This window comes from Homo sapiens, chromosome 3 (assembly GCF_000001405.40).
Source record: "Homo sapiens chromosome 3, GRCh38.p14 Primary Assembly".
Lineage (NCBI taxonomy): Eukaryota > Metazoa > Chordata > Mammalia > Primates > Hominidae > Homo > Homo sapiens.
In genome coordinates, this window is record NC_000003.12 from 53883804 (window position 1) to 53901610 (window position 17807).

A 17807-nucleotide genomic window follows, 5' to 3' on the forward strand; every position below is an offset into this window, starting at 1 on the left:
CATGGTCTCCCCGCTATAGGGTAAGGTGGAGGTTTAATAATGCCTCTGCCATTCACTGGCAATACAATCTAGGAAGCTGCCAAACTTTACTGAACCCTTGCATGTATCTGTATAATGCAAATGTCATTATACATTTACCTCACTTTGTATATATGTATACATTATACATATCCCTCACTTTGTCAGAATTTAAAATGTGTAAAAATTTACAGGCTGGGCATTGTGGCTCACACGTGTAATCCCAGCGTTTAGGGAGGCCATAGTGGGAGATCACTTTAGCCCAAAAGGTCAAGGCTGCAGTGAGCAGCCACTGTACTCCAGCCTGGATAAGAGTGAGACCCTGTCTCAAAAATAAAAATAAAAAATAAAAATAAAATAAAAATTAAAAAATAAATAAAATCTGACACATAATTGAGGTGGCCAGCAAACTGTTATCCTTATCCTGAAACCTGCATTGTAATTGCTTCTTTATCCTGAATATTGGTATCTTATGCCACAACATCCCATTTCCCGACAAACGGGGTTGAATAAATGCTGATAAATCAATATAAAAAGGCTTTCACCTGAACACTTGGTTTCAAAGCCTGTTAAACACCAGAAGAGGAATTATCTGTTTTCGTTTTTCCAATAAATATTTATTTCCAATAAATACTACATGACTATCTTACATGTAGTCACTATTCAAAGGACTGGGGTAAAGACAACAAAATTCCTAGTCTCAGAGCTTCCACTCTAGTGAAAGAATGTGAAAGTTATCAGTATTCAGATGGAGTTTAAAGCCAATAGGCAGTATTTTGAGTGATGCTATAGAGTGCAAATTTGTCAAGATAGCATGGAAGCCCATGGTTTTATTTATTTTTTTGAGACAGGGTCTCACTCTGTTGCCTAGGCAGGAGTGCAGTGGCATGCTCACAGCAACCTCCGCCTCCCGGGTTGAAGCGATTCTCCTGCCTCCGCCTCCTGAGTAGCAGGGATTACAGGTGCACTCTACCACGCCTGGCTAATTTTTGTTATTTTAGGTTTCGTCATGCTGCAGGCTGGTCTCAAACTCGTGAACTTAGGCGATCTGCCCGCCTCAGCCTCCCACAGTGCTGGGATTACAGGCATGAGCCACCGCGCCAGGCTGAAGTCCATGATTTTAAAAACTATTTAGTAAATTTTCATTTTGTAGCTCAGTTTTGTTAGCTATGGTTTTATAAATACCCTGATAATTACATTTGGTAGCAAATTAGACACAGTGTATTAAAGATTGATGAGACAAATATGTTAAAGATAAAAATTAATTCAAGAGCACAGATATGCTATGCATACTACTAAAATAAATACAGTGATTTATAAATGAGAAAAAGTTAACAATGAACAGTGTTTCAGAAGTTGAAAAGGTGACACTAACAGTGCTAAATACACAGGCTTTTATTTGTTTTCTTCAGATTGCTTTTTCGTGAATATAAAGATGAGGAGTCCATTCTGCAACCTAAAAATATTTACTTATTAAAACTATATTAATACTTTAATAAACTATACAAAAAGGTAATGAGACAAACATCTGCATTTATGGAACTGCATGTCAGTCAGGCCAGTTCCCTGCAGAGGGAATTCCCAGCATGACCTCATTCATCTGTGAGGACACAGAGCAGTCCTTGTTTAGACATACACATTCATCTACTGCTCATCATGGTCAGCCTTCCACTTCTTGATGGTTTCCTTCTGCTATGAATGCGCATGTCCGGTTGTCTGCTTCTTAGAGCAGACATTTACCTGAAAGAAAATGTTACAATAATTAGTTACTGGTTATTAATTTGGATCTGTGTGAAAACCTCAACATATTACATGTTATAAAATCTTTCTCAAAAGACATTTTGATAACAAGGCCAGTGAATTTTTCAAGGGTTAAGATAACAAATATATTTCCAAATAATGTCTGAGTAATTATAAGCTGCTGGGCAACTTCTTAAAGAAAACATTACTACAGAAGTGTTTTCAAAACAAAATCCTACAAAAGAATTTCAGATCTGAAGTTACCTTCCTCATCCACCAGCCATTGGAGGGGGACTAGGGCCACGCAGATGATTGATTCTACCCATTCTTCGGGGAGGGTTTCCTGGTGGCCTAATAAAATAAAAAGTTAGTATCTACTGTTTGATAGACACAACTTGAATTGTCTCCTTTTAAAAGCACTCAACTAGACCCTTTTCTTTTTCAGCACCCACATGACCCTAAAACACAATTTAAAATAGAAACTACCATTTTAGGTCAGGAGGCAAAAATTAAAACACTTAAAGGGACCAGACACATAATGCACACAAGGAACTGAGTCAAGAAAGGACTGTGATGAACTGAATAGCACCTCCAGTAATGCCCCACTGAAACCCAGCTCCAGCTGATTTTTGCCAGGTAGAAACATAAGCCTAGCCCAGTGCTACTTGATCTTGATCTTTACGGCTTTTTTTTTGAGATGGAGTCCCACTCTGTCTCCAGGCTGGAGTGCAGTGGCACGATCTCAGCTCACTGCAACCTCTACCTCCTGGGTTCAAACAATTCTCCTGCCTCAGCCTCCTGAGTAGCTGGGACTACAGGCGCATACCACCACACCCAGCTAATTTTTGTATTTTAGTAGAGACGGGGTTTCATCATGTTGGTCAGGATGGTCTCGATCTCTTGACCTCGTGATCCACCCGCCTCAGCCTCCCAAAGTGCTGGGATTACAGGCTCAAGCCACCGTGCCTGGCGATCTTCTAAGTTTTTAATTAGCAACTAGAAATCCAGATGTTAAAATGAAATCTTTAGATTTTAATGGTGGCCATCAGTTTTCACCCTCTAATTTAGACTTTTTCCATGGGATATTTCATGTATATTTTAGCTTTGTCAGATTAACTGATTATTATCAAATCAGAAGCAATTTGACTTTTAATTTACAGTAATGCATTAATTTTGTAAAATAGGATTTAAACTTTTAATTTCCAAAAGTCTAACTCTATCTACCTAAAATATCTAATAAAGGTATACAAAGACATAAAAACAACTATTATCAATTTAAAAAGCTGTACCCTCTTCCATCATCATATCTGGAATCAGATGAGTTTCCATAGCTTCTTCTTTTTTTCACATCTTGCTGAAGCAGAGTTTTGAAACTGAAACAAGGGGCAGAAAACAACAAAGGTATCACTTTTGACAACATTCTAAAATATATTTCCATGTTTTTTAACCATCATCTCTGTGAGAGGATTACTAAACCCACTTAGCTCCTAACCCACATTTCTTGCAGCCAGCTGGACACCACCATCTAACTTAAGCATGTGTCTAAACTGAATGTGCTATGTTGTACACCAAATCTACCCTTCCTTGTATTTCTTATTTGCTAATAACTCCCCTAGACAGAGCATGAAACCAGAGTCATCCCTGACCTCCACTTTAAATCAGCCATCGGGTTTTTACAGTGTCTCATGCTCATTTCCCCTGCAAAAGTCTACCTAACATCTTAGGGAAGGAGGGGCCAAGGGTGGTGTGGCAAAGGCACAGGGCTTCTGGGAATCCATTGAAATGGAATTTTTAAAAATGATATGTAAAATTATATGGAAGGATTTAACTGAGTTTAAAAAGTACTTTTATAAACAACATGGAGTAGGTGAAATTTGTAAAAGAGTTAAGTTTTGGATTGGGTAACTTAGGGCCTCTCTTGTGCCCTGTTGTATTTTTCTATGAAACCATCTCTTCCATTTTACATTCTACACCATCTAGTTTATGCTATATATAGCCATAAAATTAAACTTTCTAAACCACAGCTAAGATCAAATTAAGCATAAAGACCACAGCCTGATACTCAAACTTCTATGCCATCCTTCATGTGGTTTCCTTTATCTGGGATAACTTCCTCTGATGTTCACCTCCCAGTCATGCCCACCCTTGCAATATGAAGATATTTACTGACAGTAAACTCAATGAAAAAAGGGTCTCCCACATCTTTGCATCCCTACAGTTCCCTGATCATGAGACACTCAAATATATATTCAAATTTAGGAATAGGTAAGACTTCTTAATTATTGATGAACAATTCTAACAAACAGCATGTAAAAGACCAAAACATGCATTTAACTAGTAACTGCTTACAATTATGAAGACATTTAAATTTTTGTCTCCTTTACCAATTCTAACCCTTCATTATAAAAAAGTTTACTTCTTTGGAATTTTTTTTAAACCAGGATATAAAACCTTTTATTTACTTGTTATATAATATGGAATGAAAGTTGCATGCACAAAGAAAAAAACAAAACAAGAATAGTAGAGAGAAAGTGAGGTCCAGTCATTTAGCATCAGAATTGACGGACCCAGCCATAGGTTGAAGTAGTTACCACCAAGGTTAAGATGTGGTCAAGTTTACCAATCCAACTAACATATACTCATAATCATAAGCTATCTGGTGGTAGCAACTTTATCACTAACATCTATTTCCCTGTGTAAAGCTATTTTTTAAATTGCAATAGAAAACTGTTTCAGGAAAGTTGAGCTTATTTAAGATCCCTAACATAATGCACATGATGTATACCTGTCAACTTAAATATCAGGGCAATTAAGAGCTCTTCTATACTTACAACAAAACCACAAACTCAGCTATTCCCCAGAAGAAATCTGTTATCAAAGATAATCTCCATGGAGACTGACTCCGGCTGTCCAACACTTGTCCTACAGATAAGAATTAAAGAAACTTTAGTGAGTGCTACAAATCCCTAACCCAAGAGGCATCACATTTAATTATTGAGGTAACAATGATTGGGGTTTTAACTTGCCCATTATTCCAAATGGCCAACACCAGAAGAAATCTGTGAGCATCATTCCAAGGAAAGGTTCGGAGAAGTAATGTTCCATTATCTAGGGACATTCCTCCAGTATGTCAAAAGCCTACTGGTTTATAAACTTGGTGGGTGACTTCATTCTATTCAACTACTTTCTCTCTTTCTATAAATATATAACAAAGGCTGGGCGCGGTGGCTCATGCCTGTAATCCCAGCACTTTGGGAGGCCGAGGCAGGCGGATCATGAGGTCAGGAGATTGAGACCATCCTGGCTAACACGGTGAAACCCCGTCTCTACTAAAAACTACAAAAAATTAGCTAGGCATGGTGGCACACACCTGTAGTCCCAGCTACTCAGGAGGCTGAGGCAGGAGAATTGCTTGAACCCAGGAAGCAGAGGTTGCAGTGAGCCCAGATGGCGCCACTGCACTCCAGCCTGGGCGACAGAGCAAGAAAAAAAAAACAAAAAACAACAAAAAAACACATATATATAAAACAAAAATTTATCATGGTTTAAAAATGTAACAATGGTTACCAATGGTTAACCATTTTAAAGAGTACAGTTCTGTGATATTAAGTACATTCTACATTGATGCACAACCATCACCACCATCCACCTCTAGAAGTTTTTCATCTTCTCCAGCTGAAACTCTATACCCATTAAACCCTGATTCCCATTACCTTCTCCGCCCAGCCCCTGGCAACCACCATTCTACTTTCTGTCCCGACAAATTTGACTACTCTAGGAACCTCATAAAAGAAGAATAATACAATTTCTATCCTTTAGTGACCAGCTTTTCACTTGGCATGTCTTCAAAGTTCATCCATGTTGCAGTATGTGTCAAAATCTCCTTCCTGAAGGTTGAATAATATATCCTTGTATGTATATACTACATTTTGTTTACCCACTCATATCTGTTGATGGACACTTGAGTTGCTTCCACCTTCTGACTACTGTGAATAATGCTGCTATCAACATGGGTGTAAAAATACCTCTTTATTCAAGTACTTTGAAGAAACAAATGGGACGGGTGAATATAAAGGAATGCTCACACCACTTCCATATTCCTAAACATGCTGAGTATTTCTTTTCATTTGCAAAGTCTCTTGCCTGTATAAAAAGATTGCGTATTCATACTCTTACAAGTCTTTGGAATCAGTTATTTTTATAAAATTCTTATAAAGAGTGTGTATGCTCTAAGTACTAAAGAGAATTTGGCTTGTTCTTCATTAAAATAACTACTGTTTTCTATAACAGCATACTCTTAATTCTAATAGACTCTAGCTTTATCTTAAGCAAAACTGGATCTATTTTTCAAACCACTTTAATAGAAGCTACAACATAAGTTGGTACACTATATTTCAGCCTTGCAAATCAAGATGTCAGAATATTTTCGGGGAAGAGTAACTGTCAACTACCTCTCCTTTCCATTATCCCAAGAGTTAACCCCACTCACCTCTACCCACTCCATGAGGGTTTACTTTTCCTCTTTTCTTGACCAGCTTAATTTCAGATACCCACTTGGATCTAAGCTCTCACTGTGCTACTGAGAGCAAGGGGCTACAAAAGTTTAGAGGGTGGGTGACAGGCTTAGTTCTCTGCCTCTTACTAGCTCTGCTTCGTTGGCTGATGTGACATTTTCTTTCTCCAACAAAAAGTATTCCAGGGCTAGCCATCACATAAGATTTTTGGAAAAAAAAAAGTCATCTGACAGCAAGAGAAAGATTTTGTCAAGTGCTGATAATACAGTCCTAAGAAGGTGGATCTAATTGGAACCTGTCATTTCTTCCTCTGTGATTCTATCTTGCTTTTCCACTTTCCCTTTCTTAAGGCAGAATGTCCCTTCCACCAATATCCCCAGAGAGAAGTAAGGTGTTTGAATGCAGTTGTGTTTCTCAACTTTTAAAGTACGATAAAGAGTCCTAATCGGCTACTTATGTGGACCAAATGAAATAATGCGAACACAGTAAGACACAACAAATACAAGGAATTATTCAATAATTCATACAGAAGCTTCCAGCCTTAAGCTTATATCACAAAGGCTATAAAACAGGCTATAAAACAGACTAAAGTCTGAAAGCGCCCAAAACTAAGATGAAATTTTGATGCTTTTCTGTAGTGTCCATCAATCTACTTGTTTCAAAGATTTTTAAGTGGGAGATGAGAAGGGGAGATTTTTAAAAGTCAAGAAATGCAAAAGTGCAGTCAGCCAGAAGGCTCCTCACTGACTACCTTACTCGTCTCTGGAGAAAAACAGATGACTCAAATAGAACCAAGACCTAGTTCCAATGATCCACAACTCCTTGTTAAGACTGTACCAAAGAATTTCACCTGAGTCAAACAGGTGGGCAGGCAGCTCTAGCACTGATCTGACACAGTCATGTCCTTCCTTTCCGGTCATCTTCTTTGTGGGTTCGCAGAATTAAGTCTCTCGGATTCTCCATTCCGGTAATAATTAACTTGCTCCTAGGGGAAGATAGTACTTCTTCCCATGCCCCTTGAAATTCGAGCAAAAAATTCCATGTTTGACTAGCTACCCTTTCCTGGGGAAAAAGCCTATGCAAAGCTTTCATCTAATTATCATCCTAGGTCGGCTCGGTCTTTTTACACGTTGTAGACAGAGGCAGCATAACAGATAACAAGGACGCTGACGTCAGCCTACCTGTGATCGAATCCCGACTCAGCCATTAAGTTACCTCTGTGACTTAAATAGCCCAGGCAAGCTATTTAATCTATCTGAGCCTCAGAGTTTCCACCCGTAAAACAGGATTGAATGTGACGATAAGCAAATAACTGAAACACTGTCCAGGGCACAAGCGCTACGTGTACAGCGTCGGCATCATTGTCCTTACTAGTTTTAAGGATACCGACACCCGAGAGAGGAAAGACCACCCTCGCAAATCCACAATCAAGCGCTTGCTGCACGAAGGCGGGGTTGCAGGGCTCCCAGTACTCAACGTGAGGCCGGCGGGACCTCGGCCCCCGACTGCCGGCTCAGAGACCATCGGCTGACGCGCCGCAAGCCGAGGCGACTTCGGTCCAGCTCCGCCCGGCCGCGGGGCGCTAAGCCCGGGGAAGCCGCACCGGGCTCAAGACTCAGCGAGCGACGATGAAAGGAACCTGGAGTCCGATCTTACAAGTCACCGGTCGAAGCCACAGCCCGCTCTCAACTTACCGTTCGAGATGTAAACCATCTTGTCCCACTTCCCCGCTTCGGAGCCACCGGGCGCCTGGCCCCTGTCGGTTTCTGTATCTCCCTCTGCTCCCCGCCCTTCGAGCGTCACAGGCCGCGATTAGACAAAATGCTGACGAGGACGAAGGTGGGCAGAGCCCATTGGCTGCTGAAAGAGACGCGCCCCCGACGGGCGTTTTTGCATCGTCACATCTGCGACTTCTGGTTAGGCGGAGGCGGCCGAGCTGACAACCGGATATGACGTTAAGGACTGCCCTGTAGTGCCCGCGGTTGCCAGTCCTCTATCCGACTTGATCGTGCAGAGTTGGTTCGCACCGCCCAGTGAGGGGAAGCTGTTTTCTCGTCGATTGATAGGCTCCGGGTCTGGGTAGGAGAGGCTGCCCTGTATGAGGTAGCTTGAAGGGCCGCTGACAGGAGGAAACGCTTCCGAATTTTCCAGACGTGTTGACGTTTGAGGGTGCTGACTACACGTTAAGGAACTTTATTGTCACGCCTTTGGGAATATACTGCCAGGCTCTTCCTAGATATATTCATTCTCTTTAAAATGAGCATGTCTACCTGGGTTCACCAGAAACTAAGTTTTTCTTAGCCTTTTGTGAGGCAACTGAAAAATAAATTGAACTGTAGGCCCTTTCTCTGCTTGTTTCTTATTGATGGCGACTGCTTATGACCACTTTGGTGACAGACGAATTAGAAGACATGTCTTGGACATTCAGTAAATGTGGACCACATACCATGGATATTTACTCTGCTACAGCCAGTGGGCTGCCTCTGTTCCTTGAACGTGGCCATTTCATTCCCTTCTCAAGGCCTCTGCACTTAGCTATTCTTTCAGCGTGGAGACCTAATGGCTGCTTCCTTTGACTTCCCGCCCCCAGTTCTCAAGCCATGTGTCATCTCTTTGGAAAGATTCCTAATCACCTTCCAGAAAATGAAAATTACATGCTGAAAATCTATTTTGAGTTTAACAACTTTGGTTAAGATTTTATGTTCTAATACTTAGAACTGACAAAGATCTAATTTTATGTTGATTTTGGAGAGAGCATTTTCCCCAGAAAAGTTCATAATAGGACAAGACAACATCCTTCACCTCATTTGGGATTTGTGCAGCACAATCATAAAGGATCATTTCTGCAAAAATATTAGGGCAGGGCCGTTAATTTTCCCAAGGGCCTTTCTTAATCTAGACCATGCCACCATCATCTCTCACCTGCTCTACGCTAGTTTCCTTCTAAATGAAATCTCAGGTTCAGTCTTTTACCATCCTTAGGCAGTTTTACAAACTGTAGCAAGATCGATCTTAAAACGGAGATCATCTCGTTCCCTTGCCTAAAACCTTTTGGACACTAAAATTTAGTGACTTCCTATTGCTCTTAAAATCCAGTTCCTTGTCATGGCCTGCAGGCCCAAGGTGACTTGTCCTCTTGATTGCTCCTCTCACTGTACTTCCAGCCACATCTCCCCACCCAGATTATGCTCTGGCAACATTGTTGTTTTAGTTTATGAACACCCCCACCCAGATTATGCTCTGGCAACATTGTTGTTTTAGTTTGTGAACACCCCGGGTTTTACTGATACCTCCAGGACTCTGCCCATACTTGTCCCTCTACCTGGAACCCTCTTCCTCGGACTCCTTGCACATCCAGCTCATTTTATCCTTTAGCCCTCTGCTTAGTTGTCACCACTTCTGGGTGCCCTTCCCTGGCCACTCATCTCCGTGTTTATTTTCTTCATAGTAATTCACATTGTGAAACTGTCTGATAATTGATTTGTCTCTTGTCTTCAAGAAAATATAAGACGTAAGAGGTCAGGAATCCTGTCTGCCTTATTGTCTTTTATATCTTCAAGGTCTGTCATAGTTCTTGGCAAGTAGTAGGTGCTCAGATATTTGTTGGTTGGTTGAATGAGATTTTTTTAGACAATTTTTTGACAATTGCTTAAAATCTCTCCAATTGCCAAAAGAGGAAAGAAACTAACATTGGGATCTCCTGAGTATCGGACATTGTGAGGCTATCTCTTCCTTTCCATTCCTTTATCTAGATCATTTTTGCCTGAGATTTAATGCAGTGATTTCCTAATGAGCTACCTCTAGTTTCTCCGTACTCCATTTCATGCTATCTTCACCTGTTAGTTTAATCCAATCTTGCCTCTCCCATTCACAGACCTTCCGTTTCTTCCCACCACCTGACAAACATAATTCAGCCTCCCTGGTCTGGCATTAAGGGCTTTCCTGATACATCTTAGATTTTGCTCTCTGATTTCTACTTCCCTAGTAGACCCTTTGTTTTCCTGCCTTGTTGCCTCTGCTCATGTGTTTCCTCTTGAAAGGAACTTTCTCCACCTGCTAAAATCTAATCAATCCTTCAAGGCAAGGCATGTTCCTCTCGAATAACAAAGGTGAAAGGACTTTGAAAATTGAAAAAAATTATATAGTTAGTTACAATTATAGTTAGTTACAATTATATAGTTAGTGGTAGAGGACAAAGATAGCATTTCCCCTCTTTCCCTAACCTTTAATGTCTGAAACTAAGCATTAGCCACTAGCCACATGTAGCTGTTGAATATTTGAAATGTGGCTAGTCTGAATTGAAATGTACTGTACAAAATACCAGATCACAAAGATTTAGAATGAAATGAAGACTGTAAAATATCTTGTTTTTAATATTGATATGTTGAAATGATATTTTGGAGATTAAAGAACATATGTTACTAAAAGTAATTTTATTTGTTAATTTCATTTATTTTTATGTGACTACTAGAAAATTTAAAATTACATACTTGGCTCACATACATGGTTTACATTACATTTCTGTTGGATACTGCTTGTCTAGAATGAAGACATTGGCCTGGCAAAGAAGAGGTATTCAATAAATACTTGTTGAGTGAATGAAAGAATTGGTAGTTTTAATAATGGATAATATGTATACAGGGTTACTATGTGTCAGGCACTGTTCTAAACACTTTCCATTTATTCATTTAATCCTCATAACAACGACGATAATAATAGCTAACATTTGTATAGTGCTTACCCTGTGCCAGGGAACGTTCTGATTGCTTTTCATGTATTCATTCATTTAAACTTCAACCCTACTGAGTTCTGTTATTCCCATTTTACAGATGAGGAAACTGAGAGAGAGCTCAAGTGTCTTGCCCAAGATCACACAGTTAATAAGAAGCAGAATTGAGGTTAAGATCAAGAGCCAGGCTCTATAGTTTGTGCTCTTAACCCCTGTGCTATGCTGCATCTCCACACATAACAGAAGTATTGAAATAGTGTACAATCCACCACGGTATTTGTAGTATAGAATGAGAGGTGATTTCTGGAGACTGTTTGACTGTATCTCAGCTTTCTCAAAGTTGCAAAATAGCTGCCCAGTTTTTCTTTTCTAGATTCCCCAGCAAAATTCCCTGAGCATCTCTAAGTGGATGACCTTCATATCTCTGCACTAAACCCTTGGCCAGTGGGATGGGCCATTCTGAATGACAGCTACCTCTGGAGCTGGAGCTTGACTCAATCCCACTTAAGCTAGAGGGCTTGAGAGTTGGAGAGGGGTGGTGGTTACCACGAGATAATGAAGGAACACTGGGTTACATAGAAACAATAAGATGTCCTCAATATTACTGTTAGGAAACATGAAAACAGATGGCATTTATATTCTTTATTGACCTTTTATGTGTTTGTTCTTAGAGTTATTGCCTTTGCATTCTTTATTTCATCTGGACTCAGAATCCTTAACTCTTTAATTGCCTCATTTTTCTACCTTATACTCTTTATTGTTGCTATTCACAGCAACTTTTTCTTTTTAATTTTCAATTTTTGTAAAACTGTGTAGCCAGACTGGACCTGCTGTGCAAATCAGCAATTTTTGAACCAGTAATCACCTCATCACTTCAGCTGAAGTGATGGTTGTACAACTCTACAAGTCACTTTCTTAAACTACCTGAACTTATTTTCTGTATCAAAATGAGAAAATGTTTATAAAAATTCACATTGCAGTCATCCTTGGAGAATTTGATTGGCTTAAAAGTTTAAAAATTTCCTCTGTAGTCTCTAAAGTATTTCACTGAGTTAATTACATTATCAGTTTCACTAGTGAGCCTGTATGATTATATATATATATATGTATATGTACACACACACACACACACACACACACACACACACACACACACACATAGCCTATTTTTAAATGAATAAGGAATATCTAGACTCAACCTGTGGTTCTATTACAGGATGAAAAATACTATTCCAATGATAATTTCTTACTTTTTAACTCATAATCCATTTTTGGCAACCCTGGTAACTGTAATGTAAACCATTATAGTGGTAGATGGAATGGAATACTGGTCCAGAATTTTAAAGTTAAACCATCAGAGATTTAGGTGTTAGTTGCCTTCTAGGGGCATTGACTGATCACTAAAAGCAAATTTTTAATATTTTTAGAATTGTATTCCATAGTACCAAAATATGTGTTACTTTCTAAGCCCTATCTTTAGATTCCTAAATATGGAGTATACAAAGTATAACAGTATGTGCATTTTATTATTATAGATCTCAAGATAACATCAGCCTTTAGATTTTGAAAAAATAGAGTATAGATATGTGCCATGTGACATTAAGGAATGTGTAATTTATTATTCTTATTCACTAACTGGTTTGGTGCATATTATTGATGATTCTTGAATCTTCCTTTGTTTGAATGTGGTACCTGTACATAATATTAAAATCAAAAGATGCAAAGGGATATCCCATGAAGAGCAAGTCTCCTTTCTTCTCCTGTAACCCAGGATTCTCAGTGTTGATTCCCTGGCTTAGTGATACTGTCATAAGCACTGCTTGGCAAATTCCTCTTGGGCAATAGAAGCCTTGATGACAGATTCACCTCTCTGAATTTCCATCTTCTGAATCTTGGCCAAGCAATTCCTCACTCATTTTTAGCTCTTTTAATGCCTTTAAAATGTTATTTTTTTCTCATTATTTTGTCTAGGTTTTTTTTTTTTTTTTTTTTTTTTTAGTTTTCCTGAGGAGGAAAGTTAGTACAAATTACTTAATCTTTCACGGCAGAAGTGGAAGTTCATACATGTATTTAATCAAATCAACATGACAATTTAGGTCTTAGATTAAATGCTGTTTTGCTTTTAACTGTAAAAATTCTGTTATTTATGTACAAATTTTCCAGAACAATTGCTGTTTTCCTGGTATTGTCAAAACACATTATTACTTATAAACAGGAAGAATCATTACTAGTAATCCGAAATGTGTGAATGATTTAAAAACATTTATTTTGCCAATAAACATCCCACTTTTAATCTTTCCAAAACCAAACAGATGAATAAAACGTTGATTTGGCTTGACACTTTCTGTCCTTTTAATGGAAGGTTCAATGAAAATAGTTTTATTTTATAGTCTCTTAGGGAAGAGTTCTTTCTTTATGGCCCAGTGATTACTGTTTGTGGGAAAAATTGTTAGTTAGGCTTGAGAGGATGCTATTAGGGAGGTTGCTGTGACCTCAGCTGGTGGCTAGGGAAGCTGTTGCTAATAGTTCAAGAGCACTTTATTTTTCTTACTAATTGTATAACACCAGCAGCTTGGATAATATTACCCAAGGTCAAATATGGATCTCAAAAAATCATCTTTCACAATTATCAGTAATTCACGTCTTCGCTGTGAAACTGTAACTTGTTTTTGATGGGAAGTATGAAACAGAGCCTCTGAAAATGGAACCTGGCAACTGAAGACGTGTTGCTTGATATTATTTTTTCATTCCTTTTGAATGTATTTAGCTACTCCTTAGTGGCACCCAGTCTTTTCAGATTGAGATGTTTCACAAGTATGGTGGAGACCATATGTGCAGAAAAGTGGAGAAGCAAGTAGAAATGGATATACAGCCACCCTGGGTGCTGACCTGTTCCTGCACTGGACTCAGCTGGCTAGCAAGGGTGGGGAGCAGATGTAGGGGATGCAAACAGGGCTAGGACACGACAGAGAGCCATCGCTTAGGCTTACTGCTGCAGCAGCAGTGGCAGCATGAGCAGTTCACACCCAGATTTAGTAGGCTAACTGGGTACTCAGGAGCTCAGTGTTGGGACTGTTACCACATGGGAAAGCCACCCAGAATATAACTCTAGTCATTTCAACAGAGTTACTGTTTTTAGAAGCGTAAAATTCCAAAGAAACCCTACTAAATTACATTTTCCATCATAAGTCTTAAAAAAAGTTCATATCCTTAACCCAGCATTTCCATTTCTAGAATTTATTCTGAAGAAACAATGAGATGTTCAAACAGATTTATGTGAAAGGATATTTATCACAGTGTTATTTGGAATGAAAAAGAATGGAAGCCATGTAACTGTGCAACAATGGGGAACTGGCTAAGTGTTGGAATACAACATCATACTGTACATTAAAATAATGAGAAACCATGATATATTAAGTGAAAAACCAGATTACAAGACAATATGTTCACTATGATATCAATGTAAAAAAGAAATGTATTTATATGGAAATATACTAATATGACATTATGGGAGCTGTAATTTTTTTCTTTCCCTTAAGCTTTTCTATAGTTTCCAAATTTTCTACAATAAACATGCATTCCTCTTATAACTATAAATAAATATCAATACTTTCTAAAAGTTGGGCCAGGCATGGTGACTCACACCTGTAATCCCAGCACTTTGGGAGGCTGAGGCAGGTGGATCACCCGAGGTCAGGAGTTGGAGACCAGCCTGGCCAAACATGACGAAACCCTATCTCTTCTAAAAATACAAAAAAATTAGCTGGGCATGGTGGCACGTGCCTATAGTCCCAGCTACTCAGGAGGCTGAGGCAGGAGGATCGCTTGAACCCAGGAGGCAGAGGTTGCAGGGAGCTGAGATCACGCCACTGCACTTCAGCCTAGGCAACAGAGTAAGACTCTGTCTCCAAAAAAAAAAAAAAAAAAAAAAAAGTTATACTTGTTAGAAATGCGGTTTATTTCTAGTTTAATGGTTTGCATAATTCTTTTAAAAATTTAAAAGTTTTTTTCTTGATATGATAGAAATGATAGAAAATTAACTACTCGGGTAGTTGTTAACTTTTGCCAATTTTATTTCATAAGATTATCATCAGCTCTGCCTAATTGTGTGTGTATGTATATATATATATACCTAATTGTATACTAATTGTAATTAGGTATATATATATATATACCTAATTGTGTGTGTATGTGTGTATATATATATATATATACCTAATTGTATACTAATTGTAATTAGGTATATATATATATATACCTAATTGTGTGTGTGTGTGTATATATATATATATATACCTAATTGTGTATATATATATATCTAATTGTGTGTGTGTGTGTGTATATATATATATATATATATATATATATATGCACCCCACTCAAGTGAATTAGTCAAGTCAATGTTTTTTTTTTTCTAAGTATGAATAGACTCTAGTAAGAAGCAAGGAAGCACAGTTTCAAATTCCTTGCTGGTTAGCTCAAAAAAGCCTTTGCTTCTGATTAAAGTGAAACATTATACATTCAAATTTTGTGAATGATCTATTGGTAAGGCTAGTAATTAAAAACATTCATTTTAAACACATGCTTTTTCTGAGTTCTAACATGTTATCATATTATTAATTTTTTTAAAAAAAAGAGTTTTTAGGTTTTTAGCCTTTCGTTTTGGTAGTAAACTGATTGTTGATAGATACTAGAATCATCTTACCAGTATTTTGACCATACTGAAAAAATGACCTGTGAATCAGAAAAATCTGTGGAATTTGATATTATGGCAAAAACCGTTAAATTCTGAAAACAAACAAACCCAGATGTTGCTTTGTGAGAGTTCTATCTGCATCCCTATAAAATAACTTAGAGGGTATAGTATAGTACACTGTGGCAACTGAGTCTTATTTTTAGGGAAAGAAATTAGAGTCCAAATCAATGATTTTTGCCCTCCAGCTGGAAGGCACTTTCTGGAAATAGGCAGGGAATCAATGCTGAAAATAAGTGATTTCTTTTAAGTACTCATACAGTAAAATACAAAACTTGAGCTGCCTTCTGTATGAGAGTGAACAAGGGCTGCAGAGACTCTGATTTTTCCTAAGCCTCTACAGGGTCAAGAGGATTTGGGAGGCTGCCCACGTGGTGCCTACCAAGCATGCTCTGGAATATCCTCTGTGAGCAGCTTGTTTTCTTTAACTCTCACTCCAAAATAAGTGGTATTTCAGCTTTAGGGATAAATAAACTGCTTTTGAAATCTAAAAGTAGAGAAGGAAATGGCCTCCTTTGACCATCTGAGTGATGTGAGGTGTACTTAAGAGCTTGCCTGGTTGTTATGCGATATAGGCCCAGGGAGTATGGCTGCAGATTCTCTGCCATTAAGAAATTTCATTCTCCACAAGAAGGAAGGGGATTGATAAATGCACAGATGACTAATATAAGACAGAAGAAGGTCAGGTGCCATAAGAGAATCCCACACAAAATGAGGAGGAAGGATAGCATGTGATACCTGGAGGGAATCAGAGAAGGATTCCTGAGAAATGACAGCTGAAGTATATCTTGTAAGATAAAGTTTTTATTTGTTTGTTTGTTTTAACCGGATTAAGAAGCTAGAAATGAAATGAAGGATTATAATGAGACTTCATCTGTCTTTCAGGAATCCTTTCACCTGAATTTTCAAATGATCACATACCTTAAACCTAATACGATTTATGATGGAATTAATTTGAATTGACTGATTTTTTAAAAGCATTCTATTTCCATAGCTTATATGAAAGAAAATTGTTTGTCATTGACTTAGATTTGTTGTGTACCTAATAAAGCCTAGCTGGTTCACTGTCACCCCAGAAATGTTCTAATTAGCATCAAGTCTTGCATAAGATATTTTCCTGTCACTTCTGAATGCCTTGTAGATGGGTGAAATGTTACCTCTTAAATCATTTTTGATCTTCAGATGTAAGTAATAGTTTACATTGGTTAAAGTCAGGCACACTTTTTTTTATTATTGTTCATTGTTATCTCCTATTGTCAACAAGCCTTGGAAGTGCAATAAAGCAGGAGTGGCATGCTTTGGTGCCTGTGAGGGCTAGGCAGCTGGGAACTATGGCAAATAGAGAGTGCCTTCCTTCTTTGCAGGGGACAGAAACTTTTCAGCTCTAGCCAGCTGTCACCATGAGGGATCGGGGGCCAGTGTAGCCAGAGTTTCCAATGGTTTTAAGAGAAATGTAAAATCTGGATGATTATCTGAAATTTCTCTATTTTTAAATGTTGGTAACTAATTCATATTTTCAAAAAACATGGTGCTGGTCAAATAAAACCTGCCTATAGGATATGAACAGTGCAACAGCCACCTGTTTGCAACCTTTACTTTAAGACATACTCACTAGAAATTACGAAAATTCCTCACAGGCCCAGGCATAAAGAAAGATAACATTACAAACAATACCCCTAAACCTTTTATTATGGAATATTTCAAACACTGAAAATAAGAAAATAAACATAATTTAAAAGCTATTGGATCTCCCAAAAAACCCTTTAAGGACTGAGATACATATGACTGTGATCTGAGTCACATATGGTTCCAACTTGTTTTTCAGATTATAGACTAACTTGCTTTCTTAATTTTCTTGTTCAGTACAATGACTAGAAAGAATTAAACCAAGTCAAGGACAAAAACTTCTTGCCTTCTTAATTAATGACCCTTATGATAGATTAACTTCTTCCTCTTTGTTGTCCTGCTTTGCTTAGATCAGGTGACAGAAAACCCATGACTATTACATTCTGTAAAAAGTGTTAAATGTACCCTTCCCAAAAAGAAACATTCC

The 17807-nt window shown here is 38.2% G+C and overlaps 1 protein-coding gene across 1 annotated transcript, besides 3 other annotated features; it reads right to left on the reverse strand.

Annotated features, from left to right (window-relative positions):
* Positions 1 to 613: 613 nt before the first annotated feature.
* On the reverse strand, positions 614 to 8056 carry SELENOK (selenoprotein K). The gene is made up of 5 exons (NM_021237.5): positions 7967 to 8056; positions 4590 to 4680; positions 3048 to 3131; positions 2023 to 2109; positions 614 to 1758 (listed from the first exon to the last, which is right to left on the reverse strand). The coding sequence occupies exons 1-5, from the start codon at positions 7983 to 7985 to the stop codon at positions 1755 to 1757; spliced, it is 285 nt and encodes a 94-aa protein (NP_067060.2). The 5' UTR covers positions 7986 to 8056; the 3' UTR covers positions 614 to 1754.
* Positions 7244 to 8144: an enhancer, noted in NCBI's record as "H3K27ac hESC enhancer chr3:53925074-53925974 (GRCh37/hg19 assembly coordinates)". NCBI's record gives its function as "activates a minimal SCP1, AML or CMV promoter by ChIP-STARR-seq in naive H9 embryonic stem cells {active_cell/tissue: H9 hESC(naive)}" and the evidence as "EXISTENCE:reporter gene assay evidence [ECO:0000049][PMID:30033119]".
* Positions 7244 to 8334: a biological region, named in NCBI's record as "H3K27ac hESC enhancer GRCh37_chr3:53925074-53925974".
* Positions 8035 to 8334: an enhancer, noted in NCBI's record as "active region_19975". NCBI's record gives its function as "activates an Ori minimal core promoter by ATAC-STARR-seq in GM12878 lymphoblastoid cells {active_cell/tissue: GM12878}" and the evidence as "EXISTENCE:reporter gene assay evidence [ECO:0000049][PMID:35858748]".